This window comes from Homo sapiens, chromosome 2 (genome assembly GCF_000001405.40).
Source record: "Homo sapiens chromosome 2, GRCh38.p14 Primary Assembly".
Lineage (NCBI taxonomy): Eukaryota > Metazoa > Chordata > Mammalia > Primates > Hominidae > Homo > Homo sapiens.
In genome coordinates, this window is record NC_000002.12 from 91683885 (window position 1) to 91701953 (window position 18069).

General features: G+C 41.8%; 2 pseudogenes across 1 annotated transcript in view; both read right to left on the reverse strand.

The window, feature by feature from the left end:
- On the reverse strand, positions 1-2394 carry DRD5P1 (dopamine receptor D5 pseudogene 1; annotated as a pseudogene).
- The window catches only part of KMT2CP5 (lysine methyltransferase 2C pseudogene 5), a 26009-nt pseudogene continuing 10157 nt past the window's right edge, over positions 2218-18069 (reverse strand). Inside the window, exons 5-10 of the transcript NR_171627.1 lie at positions 16480-16661; positions 16060-16224; positions 14620-14729; positions 14060-14112; positions 12567-12780; positions 2218-2318 (exon numbers count right to left, since the gene is read on the reverse strand). The product of NR_171627.1 is annotated as a lysine methyltransferase 2C pseudogene 5 (transcript). The remainder of the gene's footprint in view (positions 2319-12566; positions 12781-14059; positions 14113-14619; positions 14730-16059; positions 16225-16479; positions 16662-18069) is intronic.

The window sequence follows — 18069 nt, forward strand, 5'->3', positions numbered from 1 at the left end:
TACAAATAATCTGTGTTTATTAGATACCAGAATAAATCAGGGAGACTTCTTAAGCTATGGTAAAGAGACCCCCACCAGCACAGAGAGAAGAAATGACACAAGCACAAAGCCACGGGAATCCAGACCCAGGAAAGCTGTGCTCCCACCACATCACTGCACACACACAAAACCTGCTGTTTAAAAATCAATTCAAACACAAACAAGTGACTGAAAAAGCCATTTGTTTAAAAAGGGAGGGGAGAGCATATTTTTTAAGGACCAAGTATCATTTTTTTTTTTTTTTTTTTTAAGGAGCCAGCACCATACTCTCTTCTCTCACAGGATCATTGTTCCATCTCTGGTAGGCTGGGTACATTTGACTGAGTTTATTGCAACTGCTTCTGCCAATTCTTTGAACTACCAATCAATGGGGTGAGGTTTCTAAGCACACCAGCTACTACACAGAAACACATGATAAAGGGAGCAGTACTGGAAAGCCATGTATTTGCTTGTGTGTGCATGCTTGTCAATGTCTGTGTGGTTATGCAGATCCATGAGGGGGTTTCTTAATGCAGTTTAATGGAATCCATTTGGGGTGAAAGGTGTTATTTTGTCTAAAGAAATCTCCCCCTCGCAGTCCAGCTCTCAGACAGACTCTGCAACATGGTCACCATCTGGGGATGTCTGATAGATCTGGGACATGCGATCGAAAGGACTCTCCTCCTCCTCATCGTTGTCCACCTCCCGGTCCCCGGGGGGAATGGCGTTGGGCATCATGTGGATGTAGGCAGCTGCGATTTCCTTGTGGAAGACCGTGTCTTGGTTGTAGGAGATGAGCTCATTGCTGATGTTCACCGTCTCCACCGGCGTGCGGGAGCAGACGTGGCTGCACCCCAGCAGCTGGGCAAACACCTTCCGGAAGTCGGCGTTGAAGGCATAGTGACTGGGTTGAGTGAGGAGTTGGCCCAGCAGAACCAGATGAAGACATCGAATGTGGTCTCACTGACGCAGGGGAAGCCGGCCGGAGGGCCTTTGGGGTGTCCACTGCAGAAAGGAACCATGCAGTTAAGGATGAAGAAGGGCAGCCAGCAACACACGAAGACCCCCATGATCACCGACAGGGTCTTGAGAACCTCGGTCTCCTTCTTGATGGAAAACCGCAGGCTGGTGTCGGGCGTGCAGCCTGCGCTGCTCCGGCAGCTCTGCACGTGCTCTGCGGCCCTCTCCAGGGAGGAAATCCTGCGGATCTGCACCTGGGCGATGCGGTAGATGCGCGTGTAGGTCACGATCATGATGGCCATGGGGATGTAGAAGCTGATGAGCGAGGAAGGGATGGCGTAGGTTCGATTCAGGCTGGAGTCACAGTTCTCTGCCCTCACGTCGGGCTCCCAAACGGCCTCCTCCCAGGGCGTCCAGTTGGCCAGGTTGTTTGGCAGGTCCAGCCCACCTCAAGAGACCGCCTGGTCCCTGTGCCAGTTGAGCTGGACCGGAATGAAGGAGATGAGGCTGGACAAGGTCCAGGCCGGGCGGACCATGACCAAGGCCATGCGCTGGGTCATCTTGCGCTCGTAGCGGAAGGGCCTGGAGATGGCCCAGTAGCGGGCCACGCTGATGACCTGCTGACGCACAGGTTCAGGATGGAGGCGGTGGAGCACATGATGTCGAAGGCCACCCAGACGTCGCAGAACGCTTCAAAGGGCCAGTAACCGGCCACCTCGGCGACTGCCTTCCAGGACATGACCAGCAGCGCCACGAAGAGGTCTGACACAGGTAGAGACACGATGAAGACGTTGGTCATCTTGGCGCGCAGGTGGCGGCTCCACACGATGGCTGCGGACACCAGCACGTTGCCCAGCAAGGTCCAGATGACGAGTAGGGTCAGCAGGCAGGCGGTGACCACCTGCACGGGCCCCAGTGGCGGTGCCCCCGCCGAGCCCCCCACGGCATTCCCCTGCGCCAGCTGCTGGTATAGCGCTAACTGCCCCGGGTACGCGGTGTCGTTGCTCCTTGGCGGCAGCATTTCGGGCTGGGCCGCAGAGTCGGTTTGTGCGCGATCCCAACTACAGCCCTGCGACCCCCAGGCAGCCCCATCGGGCACCCCGAGGATGCGCCCCCTCAGCCAAGGGACCCTCGAGCCCCAAAGGGCGCTCACCATGAGCTGCGCCGGGTCCCGGAGCGCGCGGGGACTTCTCTTGCTTCCTGAAGCGCCTCTGGCTCGGTGGCCGTGGTGCGCCCCTCCAGTCTACGCGATGGGCACAGGAAGCGGCTGGTGCCCGCTGACAGCCAGGGCTGTTCTCGGGAGTCTGCGGCGCGCCAGATGGCAGCGACAGCGGCTGTGTCTGGCTCGGAGCGAGAGAAGAGAGCAAGCCGCCACTGAGGGGCTGGGGCAGGCAGTCGCCGGCGCCGGGCTGCACTGCGGCGCTGCCGCGGTCCCTGAACGCTCCCCGGCCCCGCGTCCCGCCCCCCGCGCCTCCGCGCTGGACTCCAGCCCCACCTGTGCCTTGGCGCCCTAGCTCACCGCGCTCAGCGCGCCAGAGTGTAGTGGTGATCCCGCAGGTCCCAGGAGCGCCCCAGCGCCAGACCCTAGCCCCGGGCCGGGGAAAATTCTTCCCGGGAAGACCGAAGGGTGCTTGGCGTAGCCCTGGAGCCCTAGCCCTAGCCACGCTTGGGGAACAAGAGGTGGGGTAGGGATGAGGACGCGAGGGCTTCCGGAGGGGGAAAGAGCATTTGAAGTGTAAAGGGGACGGCCTTATATTGCCCACAGACCTGAGTCCCAATCCGGACTTTATTCCTGGCTCTGCAACTTTAAGGGCCCTACATAACTTTACCCGGCCTTGGTTTCCTTCTCCACAGCGTGGGATAATGATTCCTACTCCTAGAACAGTGTCAGAACTCAGGGAAGCCGTCTAGGATGAGGTGTCCAGTAGACAGTGTCTCCTAGGAACAGGCTCCCGCTTCCCCCAGCCCCTCCCTCAACACCATGAGGCTGGGGCTTCACCTGACCTCTTGGGAGACTGTCCTTTTCCCCACCACCGCCCCCAGTCCTTCAGTGATTTTTCCTTTGGGGAATAATTTGGAATGAACCCAGAAGACAAGAGGAGGAAGAGAGCCCCCCCCCCCCCCCCCCCCGCCCCAGAGAGTTGGAAGCCTCTTCTTTGCAGGGCACTTTTACAGTCTTTCGCTTTTTCAACCTTGAGAGGGGTGGATACATAGCTCAGTGTTGAACAGAAAAGGAACTGACGGGGCCCAAAACCCAGACTGAAAAAAAAATGATGGAAAACAATAAAGAGGGAAAACAGTGTTCCTGAGCTCTGAGTGCACCTCCCAGCTGACAAGTTGCATTTGTGAAGTGTTTCGGCCTCTGCTGGCGTTAAGCTCAGCTGAAGGCAGCTGGGAGAGAAAGGGATGTGACAGCAGCCAGCTGCACAGCTCCGGCTGCGACCTGCTGGCCCAGACACCTGCAGCATGGTGAGGTCTAGTAACAGACTGGACTTTCTCCTCCCTTCCTAGTCTCCCCCTTCACCAAATGCACTTGCACCCTGGACCAACACCTGCAAGTGGCCCAGCTTCTCAGACTTAGGCTGCTCAGCCTACACAGTCCCTTCCCCCAACCTCTTTCCCCTTCAGTGCTTTCTGCCGCTGGAGAAGGCAAGACCATCTGTCCAGGTGCCTAAACCTGAAACTGAAGAGCCATCCTCACCTTCGGTCTCTCCTCATCTTCTAGGAGCTGGATCACTCCTCTGGCCATGGACATCCCTGTCCAGAATTGTGCCTCCTCCACCCTGTTTGAAGGTGGCATTCTCCTGGCCTCCAGGCTCTGCCCTGACCCTCTGTCTTCCCAGAGGCAGTGATCTTTCCTGAATGTGACTATGCTCATGTCACTCCCCTGATGAAACACCCTCAGTGTGTTTCATGATCAGCTCCCTGTGGCCCCTGTTCCTCTCCTGGAGAGGAGAGGAACTAAAAACACAAAAATACAAAAAATTAGCCAGGCGTGGTGGTGGGTGCCTGTAGTCCCAGCTACTCCAGAGGCTGAGGCAAGAGAATGGCGTGAACCTGGGAGGCAGAGCTTACAGTGAGCCGAGATTGCACCACTACACTCCAGCCTGGATGACAAAGCAAGACTCCATCAAAAGAAATGAAGAAAAGAGAAGAGAAGAGACGAGACGAGGACAGAAAGAAAGACAGACCGGAAGAAAAGAAAAGAAAAGAGAAAAAGACCATATCACCCAAATATGAGAAATTCTCCCATATATACATACTTGTATCTAGATGACTAATCTCTGGAAAGTTATAAGAAAACACTGGTTCTTTCCAAGGAAGGGATGGCCAAAAGGTAGGCTAACTTAACATTGTTCACTCTTTTTAAGACCTTTGTATTTCTTGTATCATGCACAGGTATTGCCTATTCAAAAACAAACCTACAACAAGGAAAGACTGAAAGCTTTTCTTCAATATCTGCTACAAGGCAAGGATGCCTACTCTTAACACTTATATTCAACATAGTCCTAGCCAGAGCAATCACATAAGAAAAGGAAATAAAAGGCATCAGCAGAAAAAAGGGGGTAAAATTATCCCTGTGTGCAGATGACATGATCCTGTATGTAGAAACCCCTAAAAATTCCACAGTTACTAGAATAAATGAATTCAGTCAAGTAGCAGGATACAAAATCAATATACAAAAATCAGATGCATTTCTTTATACAAATAATGATCTGAAAAAAAATCAAGAAAACATTTCCACTTAAAATAACATCAAAAAGAATAAAACACCGAGGAACAAATTTAATGAAGGAAGTGAAAGCTTTATATACTAAACACTATAAAATACTGACAAAGTAAACTGAAGACACACAGCCGGGCATGGTGGCTCACGCCTGTAATCCCAGCACTTTGGGATGCCAAGGCAGGTAGATCACCTGAAGTCAGGAGTTCAAGACCAGCCTGGCCAACATGGCGAAACCCTGTCTCTACTAAAAATACAAAAATTGGCCAGTCGGGCATGGTGGCAGGCACCTGTAATCCCAGCTACTTGGGGGGCTGAGGCAGCAGAATTGCTTGAACCCAGGAGGCGGTGGAAGTTGCAGTGAGCTGAGATCACACCACTGCACTTCTGCCTGGGCAACAGAGCGTGACTCTGTCTCAAAAAACAGAAAAAAACTACAGACACAAATAAATATAATGATATCCCCAAGTTTGTGGATTGGAAGAATATTGTTAAAATGTCCATACTATCCAAAGTGATCTACAGATTCAATGCAATCCCTATCAAATTTCCAAAGGCATTTTTCACAAAAATAGAAAACACAATTCTAAAATTTGTATTAAATCATAAAAGACCCTGAATAGCCAAAAGAATCTTGAGAAAGAAAAACAAAGTAGAAGGTATCACACTACCTGATTTCAACTTATATTACAAAGTGATAGTTATCAAAACGTATGGTACTGGCATAAAAGCAGACACATGGATCAATGGAACTGAATACAGAGCCCAAAAATAAACCCAAACATATATTATGAGCTAATTTTTGACAAGTCCAATAAGATACAATAGGGAAAAGATGGTGTCTTCAATAAGTAGTGGTAAGAAAACTAGATATCTATATGCAAAAGAATGAAACTGGACCTGATGCCTATCTTACACATCATACATAAAAAGCAACTCAAATAGATTAAATACCTAACACCTGAAACCATAAAACTCCTAGAAGGAAATATAGGAGAAAAACTCCTTAATATCCTCCTTGACAATGATTTTTTGGATATCACACCAAAAGCTCAGGCAGCAAAAGCAAAAATAAGCAAGTGGGACTACATCAAGCAAATAAGCTTCTGCATAGCAATAAAAAAAAACAAAATGGGGTAAAAAGGTAGCACAGGGATTAGGGGAAAATATTGGCAAACCACACATCTGATAAGGGGTTAAAATCCAAAACATATAAGGAACTCACACAACTCAGTAGCAAAAAAAAAACCCCAAATAACTGGATTTTAAAATAGGCAAGGACCTGAATAGCCATTTTTCCAAAGTCACACAAATGGTCAAATGGTATATGAAAAGATGCTCAATATCATAATCATGAGGAAAATGAAAATTAAAACCACAATAGATATCATCTCGTGTCTCTTAGAATGACTATTAACAAAAAGGCAAAGACATAAGTGTTGGTGAGGATGTGTAGAAAATGAAACCTTTGTACATGGTTGATAGGAATGTAAATTAGTATAGCCATTATTGAAAACAGTATAGAGTTTCCTTAAAAAAAAATACAACTACCATAAGATCCAACAATGCCTCTGTTGGGCATATATTCAAAGGTAATAAAATCAGCATCTGAGAGAGACATCTGGATTCCCATGTTCATGGCGGCATTACTCCCAATAGCCAAGACATGGAAACAAACTAAGTGTCCTAATGGACAATTTACTTACCCATTCAAGGACAGATGAATGGATAAAGAAATTGTGACATTTGTTTATACATATATTAAGTCCTCCCTTAATGTCATCAATAGGTTCTTGGGAACTGAGACGTTAAGCTAAATGAACATACAGCAGGTCCTCAAGTAACACTGTTTCCTTCAATCTAATTTTGGCATAATGCAAAATGAAAAAAAAATCAGTTTTGTCATACTTTTTTTCCCCTCTTAACCACAGTTTCTAAGAACTTACTGATGACAATGAGGACTTTATACAATGGAATAGTTAGCTTTAAGAAAGGAGATACTGCCATTTGTGACAACATGGATGAACTGGGAGGAAAGTATGCTAAATAAAGTAAGCCAGACACAGAAAAATACTGTATGATCTCACTTAAGAAGCAGAATGGGAGGCAGGGGGGTGAGAAGCTGAATGTATAGAGAGTAGAATGGTGGTTATCAAGAGTCTGGAGGTAGGGGATGGGTGGGATGGGCAGAAGTAGGTCTGAGGGTACAAATCTGCAGTTAGGTAAGATGAATAATTCTAGAGATCAAATTAATACACAGCATGAGAACCATAGTTAATAATATTGTGTACTGGAAATTTGCTGAAAGAGATTTTAGGTGTACATACACAGAGAGTAACTATGGAAGGTGAAGGATACAGACATTTGTTTGACCATAGTAATCATTTCACTATGTATACAAAGCATGTTGTATACCTCAGATATGTATAATAAAAATAAATGAAGAAAAAAACAAAAAACTGTATCCTACCTGCCAAAAACAGTTTCAAATGCATTATGTCTTTGGATTTAGCATGGAATTCACCTTTGCAGGCCCACTTACCTACAACATTATAAATATACCAGGTGATTCATTGTACTATTCACAGTAAAAGATTGAAAGAACGCCGGGAGTGGTGGCTCATGCCTGTAATCCCAGCACTTTGGGAGGCCGAGGCGGGCAGATCACGAGGTCAGGAGATCGAGACCATCCTGACTAACATGGTGAAACCCCGTCTCTACTAAAAATACAAAAAAATTAGCCGGGCGTGGTGGCGGGTGCCTGTAGTCCCAGCTACTCGGGAGGCTGAGGCAGGAGAATGGCGTGAACCCAGGAGGCGGAGCTTGCAGTGAGCGAAGATCATGCCACTGCACTCCAGCCTGGGCGACAGAGTGAGACTCTGTCTCAAAAAAAAAAAAAAAAAAAAAGATTGAAAGAAACCCAAAGGTCTATCAACAGGGGAAAGAACAGGTAAATTAAATTGCTTATATTTCCATACAAAGGAATATTTGCAGCCATAAAAAAATGAAGGACAGTAAAAAGTAGTAAGACAAAAGGAACAAAATATATATACACACACACACACACTATATATATATAAACACACATTTCCTTGTACATGCATAAAACACATCTGGAAAGTTACACGAGAAACCTCTGAGGTTTCTGGAGATGCAAACTGGGGGCATGAAGGCAGGGGAAAGGGAGAGACTTCACTGTTTACCTTTTTATTATTTTCCAATTTTAAATCATTTGAATGTATAACTTGTCTAAAAATCAAATTTTAAAAGTTGAGGGAATTAACATTACAGAAAGTAACAAACCTCAAGGAAGCAGCCACCTTCACCAGATGGACAGTCTACCTCACTCTTCCCACGCTCCAGTAGTTACTGAATGCCAGTCCCCTCCCTCCATTCAGTCTGCCCCACCTGCTGGCCTTCTAGAGCCTCAGAGCAGTCCTATTCCCACACCTCCAAACACATCCATACACTGTGATGGTGGATCTGGGACCACCAGTTGAGAGGAAATGTGTTGTGTTTCCACTCTTCAGACAAACAGAGTGTTATTTTATTGAGGTTTGGGATTTTTTCTTGCATTAACAGGGTTTCTAGATCCCAGTAGGTGAATGAGAAAGAAGTATGCTTTTATTGCATAAGGAATTTGTTTCTGATACACCAAAGTGATGATGTATGACTTTTCTTAAAGAAGTGGTTATTAGAAGAGTTAAAAATCAATAGAAACAAAAAGTCATAGGTATTGTTCCAATACTCCAGGAACATCACAATTTGGATTCTGTAGATGTGTGTAATATAATGTGTAATATTACATTCTGACAACCTCAAGTTGAAAACTGCACAGCTGAAGATCACTTATAGTCAATAACACTTTTCAAACTTTAATTTTAAATTCATTAAGTCTCTCCCTAATGTATCGTACTTTTTAATAAAGGAAACTGTCAGATACGCTATAATACAGAGGAAAACGTTTATATACTCTTTCATTATAATTTTTCCACAACTTCCAAAATGAAGAAAAAGACATGGAAACATTAAGTTCAGAGAATAATTGTGGCAGACAATTCCCTCCTCCTGAAAGTTCAATTACCCCAACACAGGCAAAATTTCTTACTAACTCAAAAGGAACTGAATTCACATATAAAGACAAACGTGGGATTCTGTTGAGTTCTGTTGGACACAGAACACAATTGCTCAAGCACTGGTTGGGCACCTGTATTCTAATAGCTCACGATTACTGAGCACTCCATGTCTGGGAAGAGCCAGTGCTGGGTGCCTGGCATGCATCCTTGCACCTCATCAGCACAACTATCCTATGGGCTCATCCTGGTTCACCTATTTTATAAAAGAGAACACTAGCATCAGAGAAGTTAAAAAATTTGCCTAAAAACATCCAGAGTAGGTTTCATCGTTGCCCACTACTTTATAATGCTTTCCCAAGGGTACTGAGACGTTATCAAAACATGTTAGTGAAACAGTCTAAAACATCACAAATTTTAGGTTTAATACAAAATACCCAGAAAAGGGCAGCGTTATTAGAAATCTCAGCATAATGTAATAATAAGAACTTATGATGATTTTATTCTTTTCCTATTTTTTCTCCCGTACAGGCATATGAAATACCATAAAACTTATTTTAGTGGTGTGTGTGTACATGTAGTTTCAGGATAATATAGTAATCTAAAACATTTTTAATATGGCAAAGTGTGGCAATACTAAATTTTTAAAAAGGATTTTTATTTAGCAAACAGAAAGCAAAAATGTTGTCCAAGTAACATGCATTTATTTTATCCCTAGGAATGTACCTTTCCTTCTGCAAAGGATGTGAGATCCTGGCATGTAAATGAACATGAGGGACTAGTCATGAAAATACTGTATATTCAATTCCTTAAATTCTAAAATTGTCTTAGCATTTAACATCTAACACGCTAAACAATCTTTTTTCATATTCAATAAAAATAAAGACAAATTCAGTAAATTCAGATGGGCTATTTTATCACGTACATTTTAAAAAAGCAAGGGTAATTTTTCAACTGATTTTCTTTTACCGTGATACAAGTCAATGAGAAAATATGAAATTGAAACATATCACCATTTCTCAGTGTTTACAAGTGGTAAGTCACAAGGAAAACCTTCCAAGATCTTCTGTGTTGTTTTTAAAAGGTATTATAATCACATAATTTGGGAAACAATGTGTACTATTATCAAGAAACCTTTCATATTTTGTGAAATGGAGCACTTCCCAAATTTAAGAGACTATGGAAACCTTTTTCAGACATTTTTTAACATCCTCAGAAATGGAAATTCTTGTTAATGCTGATCTGATCAATTCCTCCAAGTATATGGACTACTTCTTTGCAAACTCCAAGCCCCCAAATCAAATTACCTGTTCAACCGTATCTGAAAATCAGTTACATACAAGCATCAGAAAGTGTTTCTCCCAGCAACATAGACCCAAAACACACTACAAAACAAAAATTATCAAGAACATACAAAAGACATATCTTTTCATGTATTTATTTATTTTTTGAGATGGAGTCTCACTCTGTCACCAGGCTGGAGTGCAGTGGCTCGATCTTGGCTCACTGCAACCTCTGCCTCCTGGGTTCAAGCAATCCTCTGCCTCTGCCTCCCAAATAGCTGGGATTACAGGTGCCTGCCACCACGCCCAGCTAATTTTTGTATTTTTAGTAAAGACGAGGTTTCACCGTGTTGGCCAGGATGGTCTTGATCTCCTGACCTCAGGTGATCCACCCGCCTTGGCCTCCCAATGTGCTGGGATTACAGGCATGAGCCACCGAGCCTGGCCACAAAAGACATACCTTTTCAAAGCCACAATTACCTCTCACCTGGACCATTGTTTCTCACTGATCTACCTGTCATAACTCTTGCACCTAATCTTCTACTTATATCATAGGAGAGTGTTCCTCTTAAAATATAAATAAGATCATGGTGTTCTTCTTTTCAGGAACATTCAATGGCCTCCCATTCCATTGCTATTAAGCACAAACTACTGACACATCACCTTATGGTTGTGTGAGATATACTGAGCCGTCCTTCTTGTCCTCACATCTCTAATCTTCTCACCTTCTGACTGTCCCCTCTGCTCACTCTGTTGGTCTCCACAACACTCTTCAAACATGCTCAGCACACTCTCACCCAGAGCCTTTACACTGGCTTCTTCACTGTCTGGGGTGCTCTTCTCTCAGGTAATCAAGTGGCTCACTCACTCACCTCTTTAAAATCTGTGCTCAAATACTGCTTTCTGTTCATATGGACCCTAAACACCTGTCTGTACTTCCAATTCCTTTTTTTTTTTTTTTTTTGGAGACGGAGTCTTGCTCTGTTACCCACGCTGGAGTGCAGTGGTGCAATCTCGGCTCACTGTAACCTCCGCCTCCCAGGTTCAAGCAATTCTCCTGCCTTGGCCTCCCAAGTAGCTGGGATTAGAGGTGCATGCCACTGAGCCCGGCTAATTTTTGTATTTTTAGCAGAGAACGGGTTTCACCATGTTGGCCAGTCTGGTCTCGAACTCCTGACCTCAAGTGATCTACCTACCTCGGCCTCCCAAAGTGCTGAGATTACAGGCATAAGCCACTGTGCCTGGCCAGGCAATTCCTCTTTATCAAACTTTATTTTTACCATGGAACTTGCCAAACACATTATAATTAACTGATTTTTTTTAAGAGTTGAGTTACCTAACATTAAAATATAAACTCTATGCAGAGAATTCTACCTGCTTTGTACACTGATATGATTTCCAACATCTGACATACAGTAGGTATTCAATAAATTCTATTGTCTAAAAGCCGGCTGCAGTGGCGCATGCCTATAGTACCTGCTACTTGAGAGGCTGAGGCAGGAGGATCACTTGAGCCCAGGAGTTGGAAACCAGCCTGGGCAATGTAACAAGACACTGCCCCTTAAAAAAAAAAAAAAAAAAAAAAAGCTATGAAATAAAATGTAATGGAACAGAAATAATTATCACTTCACTTCTGAATCAGTTGAAAATAAATAACTGCCCCAAAAATGAGGAAACCTACAGTAATCCTCTTTAATTCATATTGGATTTTAGGTTACTATTAAAATATTTTGCTATCTCAAGAATTCAGCAGGCTGAGCAGAGCAGATGGCTTGAGCCCAGGAGTTCAAGACCAGTCTTGGCAAAATGGCAAAACCCCATCTCTACAAAAAAATACAAAAATTAGCCAGGCATGGGGGCCCACATCCATGGTCCCAGCTACTCAGGAGGCTGAGGTAGGAGGGTCGCATGAACCCAGTAGGCAGAGGTTGTAGTAAGCCAAGATCATGCCACTGCACTCTAACCTGGGCAACAGAGCAAGACCCTGTCTCCCAACCAAAAAAAAAAAAAAAATTCAGCTAGAAAAACCTTATATTTACTTTGATTAAGAAAATGTTTATAAACCAATACTTTATGATGCACACTGGTGAATATGAAGTTATACCTGAAGTAATATTAAATGACAGCTTTTCCATTTCTAGAATGTATGCCTCAACTACCTTAACTTAAACATGGTATTATCCAAGCTCACAGTATCTGAGAAGGTTTGTGTCGTCATCTAGCAAACTAAAGTCAAGCCCTCTGTATTTCCCCACCTGTGATCTTCAAAGATATGGTGCTCCTTGAGATTTCTGTAAGGTAGGTCTGTTCTAAAATGTGTGAAAGGAAGAGAACCCGAAAAGGCAAGGTCTAAGAAGATCACTCATTTGGAGATGGCAAGGGTCACATCGGGGTTATCTAAGTCAGTGTGATTTACCCTTTGGTAAATCATACACATATTTCAAAAGTTACTTTATATGCTGTAATTCTTGCACACATATTTCACGGAAAATAAATTAGTATTACCTCGACTATCATCCATATCACCATCCCTTGAATGTTCTGATTGGATGTCTGGAGGTGTCTGAAGGACGGCCACGCTATTTCTGATTTATAATCTTCAATTTCAGTTTTGGTTTTGACAGTTTTCTTCTTGGAACTGTAACTGTGAGGCTCTGTAACTGAGTCATCCCTGATTCAGTCAAACACACACCATCCTGGGTATAAGTCTTGGGTGGGTCTAAAATTACAAAATCCCAAGAATACAAATTTAAACTTTCATTTTAAATTTGACTGATTACTGTTCCAAAATACCCATGTCAAGGGAATGTGACTGTAGTTCTAGAAAGTAATTACGTATCTATGAAATGCATGAATAATTAATTTCATGATACCCAATAAAAACTAGGAACAATAGGTCAAACTTCCTTGGATTATAGGCAGAAATGTTACATGTTTTTAAAAAATGGTCTTCCTGGGCCCGTTGCGGGGGCTCATGCCTGTAATCCCAGCACTCTGGGAGGCCGAGGCGGCAGGCAGATCACGAGGTCAGGAGATCGAGACCATCCTGGCAAACACAGTGAAACCCTGTCTCTTCTAAAAATACAAAAAATTAGCCCGGCGTGGTGGTGGGCACCTGTAATCCCAGCTATGCGGGAGGCTGAGGCAGGAGAATCCCTTGAACCCGGGAGGCGGAGGTTGCAGTGAGCCGAGATCGTACCACTGCACTCCAGTCTGGGCAACAGGGTGAGACTCCATCTCAAAAAAGTCTTCCTGGCATTTTTATTTTCATGTCCCAATAAAAAGAGTTAGAAGCACTGCAAATAAATGCAATGCTCAGCTAATCCACTATGAGCTTTTTCCTGGAAAAGATCAAAAGGCAGGGATCTATTTACACAAGAGAAGAGAGAATACTCCAGAAGCTCATCTGGAAAAATCAGAGTATCAACATAATTACTAATAGGGAGAAGTAATAAATAAGTACAAATCCTGCAGATTTAATTTTAAATGTACAAAACTGTTGTTCCTTAGAACAACTTCTGTACTATCCAAATGTTTTTGTATCAGGTGCTATTAAATACAAGTATTCAAAAGAATGACTGTTTAATAAGAATATCATATTAATCACCATACTAGGCTTATTAATTATTTTAAAAAATTAAGAGATTGAATTAATTCTAAAAGAAATCTGCTTGCTAACTAGGCCGTATTTTCTGCTAACTGATAATTAAGCACAGTAATATATCAATGAAACCAAAGCAAGTATGGCATTAATGGTTATTCTAAGAGCTGTTATTTTTGTTGCCAACTTGCTGAAATTTATAGGAATACTGCCCCAGTAAAGCTGGATGACATTTTATATATCATTGTGGAAATGATTACCAACATTACGGAATTTGGATAGAACACCCATATGATTGAAGCAGATTTTATAAGTGGTAAGCCAATTATGTAAAAATTAAGCAAAGTAAATTAATTAAATTAAGTAAAGCATTTCAAATTTTAACTAGCTCTTTTACTTTTGTGACAATTTGTGCTACAAGTGAAGATCCACAGCAGTCTGAGGAAGGCACTGAAATGAAAAAAAAAAAATCCAGGTAATTCTTTTCAGAAAAGGTAAAGTGTATTTACATACTTACATATGATTAAAATTTCTGTTTCTATACTCATTTTATTAAAATAAATGTTTGAACACTAAAGTTAAAAGCACTTTTTAAAGCAACAACAAAACAAGAAGTGATGAAGGAAATACTCAAGTCATGGAGGAAAACCTGGCTAAGAAAGAATCAACACATTGGATTTTAACATATTGTCAATAACTACAAGATCATGTTCCTTGGAAGCAAAATTATAGTTTACATCTAAAGTATACGCTTTTTATTGTTTCATGTAAATTGTTTTATAACAAGTTGTGATAAGTCATGTATAATCAACAATAATATTTTTCATAAAATACTTGTCAAAGTAAGTTTCACAAAGACAAAATAGAGTAGAGCTAAGCTAATTCATTGGTTATGGACAGTAAGGTGCAAGTGAGTGGTACAAGAGTGCAGACTCACAGTTTAAATTATTCTTTTACCATTAGACGCAGGCATATAGGGTCTGCACATGTTGCAATCAAAACCAATGTCTGCTACATTTTCCACTTCTTCCTCAGTATTTAAGTTCTGACGAACTGCATGCATCCATCTAAAAAGACCATATTTGTACATTTTTTTTTAAAAATGGAATATACTGAGAACTGCTACCTTTTAAAACCTGTAACACTGAGTCATCAAACTTAAAAGCCCTAAGCCTCACATGCTCCTCCTACCTTGCCCTTTTCTCCTAACTATCCCTATTAACAGAAAAACTTTCATAGAGCTAAGAAGGAAATAAAAAGGAATGAGAACAACTATTAGAGAGGAAGCAAAGCACATTACATAAGGAAGCTAATTATTTTATCATCATATATTAAATATTTCAAAGACAGCAAGGAAGCTAGTTAGGGCAAACACAAAGGTATTCAGAAAACAGCAAATGGCAGTGCTAGCATATATGGGCTCCAGGCAATGCATCTAACTTGAAGTAGACATATATCATGGAAAGCGATGTTGAATGGTAATTGGGAAATAAAGTAAAAAGTTGTCTTGCAATGGAACAGATAATTAGTAGCCAGAGTCCCAAGAATACTGTACTACTGATAAAATAATACTATCAATATATGTTCACTGCTTAACTTCTAAAGAGTACAACAATATACCAATGAAAGCAAGGAAACATTCTTGATTTTGAAATTCCACATAATTACGTAGGGAGGGCAGAAGGTGCTATCTAATACCTAGATATCTAGTATCTAGAGCTTTAAGAGAAAGTGGTTTAAGGAGAACAGAAAGTGTTAGATATTTTTTATAATCTATTAAAAGATTCAGAAACCCTTCATAAGAAACAGCATAGAGGAAGACAATAATTCTCCATCTAATTTCAAGGGATTCCTAAACCCTCAAAAAGGCCTAAATTAAAAATCTTCAGTCTTGGGTGGACACAGTGGCTCACGCCTATAATCATAAAACTTTGGGAGGCTGAGGCGGGTGGATCACAAGGTCAAAAGATGGAGACCATCCTGGCCAACATGGTGAAACCCTGTCTCTACTAAAAATACAAAAATTAGCTGGGCGTGGTGGCATGCACCTGTAGTCCCTGCTACTCCGGAGGCTGAGGCAGGAGAATCGCTTGAACCCAGGAGGCGGAGGTGGAGTTTGCAGTGAGCCGAGATAGCGCCGATGCACTCCAGCCTGGCGACAGAGCAAGACTCTGTCTGTAAATTTAAAAACAAAACAAAACAAAACAAAACTTTAGTCTGGAGTTGAGAATTCAAAACAGGAAATCAATTCTGTAAGTTTCTAGGTGACTAAAAATCTACAAGGCAAAAAGCTCTGTACCTAAAACTTGTGATTAAGGAAAAGCTATTTTCCATTTTTTTTTTTTTGCTACATTTCAAAGAGAAAAGCTTTAAAAAGATGAAAAAATAGCACAATACCTATCACATTGTCTTCATTGCAGAATAAGATCTTCTTCTCTATAGTTTCAATAGCAGACTGGACAGGAAGATAAACTTGCACAAGGAGCGCACTGTGTGTAATTGTTCTGCCATTCACATCTTAGACCTGCAGATGTTGCTCCACAGTGTCTGCACCAAACACACCTGAAATCCAAATCCCCCCGAAAAGTCTCAATTTTATTTTCTTAGTTATTCAGTTACTGTAATTCAGGAAGCTACATACGAACATAATGGGGCAAATGATTTAATGTGTATGTGAAAATTTTTCTGATTAGTGGTATCTATCATAGAATATGTGTATTATTCAATTAAATAGGTATGGCTAATTTTTAAAAACTAAAGTGGTATGAGAAAGCTCTGAACTTGAAAGACTAACAAGGCAAACAAACCCTAGAGAACCATTTGCACTTCCAGCCTCCTTTGGGAACTGTCTGCAATGGAGGGTCTAGGCAGTAGGTGTGATAACTTATGTCACAATCATCACACAGCAGGAGTCTTCCTGGGTCAGTTGCCTTCCCACAGGCCTCACACACAGTGCACTCAAGACACCTCCAACCTTTGCTAAGAACCACTTTAGTGATCTGTAAAAGAAACAACCAATCCATGTGATTTATGCATTAACCTAACATAATCAAATATACTATATAAATTAATATGGTGCTTATGTACCTAGAAGCAGAAAGGGGCAATCAACTAACATTTATTGAGCGCCTACGGAGGCCCAATACTGGGTTGGGCATGTTCATACATGCTTTTAGGAGCCTACTGAGCAGAATAATAGAAAATGGCACATATTTTAATGCCTTTTTAAAGTCCACATAATTACCTTATGCTGTACATTTAATGTCCACTGTATTTATAGATATAGTGACCAGATTTTAAAGAAATCAAGTAAGCTTCACTATTATTGATACATAATTTGAAAATACATCAACAAAATCTCCATCTACATTTCCATGCTTAGAATCAATAGAAAAAATACCAAAAAAATTAATGTAAAGCATGAGTTCTTAGGGACATTTTATGATCTTAGAAGATTTCTATTTAGACTATGAAGCTAGGAATTCTGAAGTTCACATTCACTCCTCTGTTTATTCTCCCCTCTCTCAAGGGTATAAGTTAGCAGAATATTTGGGAATTTCCAAATCCCTAACAAACTCCTGAAGGAAGCCACACCATGTAATATTAAGATTGCGGAACTTCTTAAAGATCTCAAAAGACTAGGATCCTCAGACAGAACCAATCAAGTGCCCACATTATAATGAAACAGCAAGTAATGAGGGTACAGAATAAAAATTCAGATCATGAGGTACAAGAAAGCCTAAAAGCTACCAGAGAAGAAAATAAAAGAGTTAAATTCAAAGGAACACCCATCAGAATGGCACAAAACTTCCCAACTCCAGATGCTAGAAGAGTATAATCTTCCAATTCTACAGGAAAATACTTTTCAAAGTACAATTCTCAACCTAGCTACACAAGCAACTATGTGTGAAGACAGAATACGTTGTAGACACAGGAAGACTCAAAATTCAGCTCCTTCATTCTCCTTCTAATAAAGTTACTTAGAGATATGCGGAACAGAATGAGGATGTATTACAAAGAAAAGGAAGACTTGGGATCTATAAATCAACAGATCTGACAAAGGACATCAGGCCAGGGAAGTTTAAGGATGAGAACAACACACCCAGAAGCCACTGGCACATATCAGAGCAGGAGAAGGGAATGTCTAGAAAGAGGGTAGGACTTCTCCCAGAAAAAAACAGTACTTTAAAAAATAATCTTATATGATAGTTCTATAGTAGGCAAAAACAAAGAACGAATGGAGAGTCACTATTACTTTCTTGTTATTAAAAACTCCATGAAAGACAAAAGAAACTCATAGTATACTGTTTAGATCTGCAGTGAACATTTACTGAGTCATAACCAACACCTTATTAATTGAACTAAACATAGTAATACAACTATATTGGGAGAAGGAAGGAGGTGTAT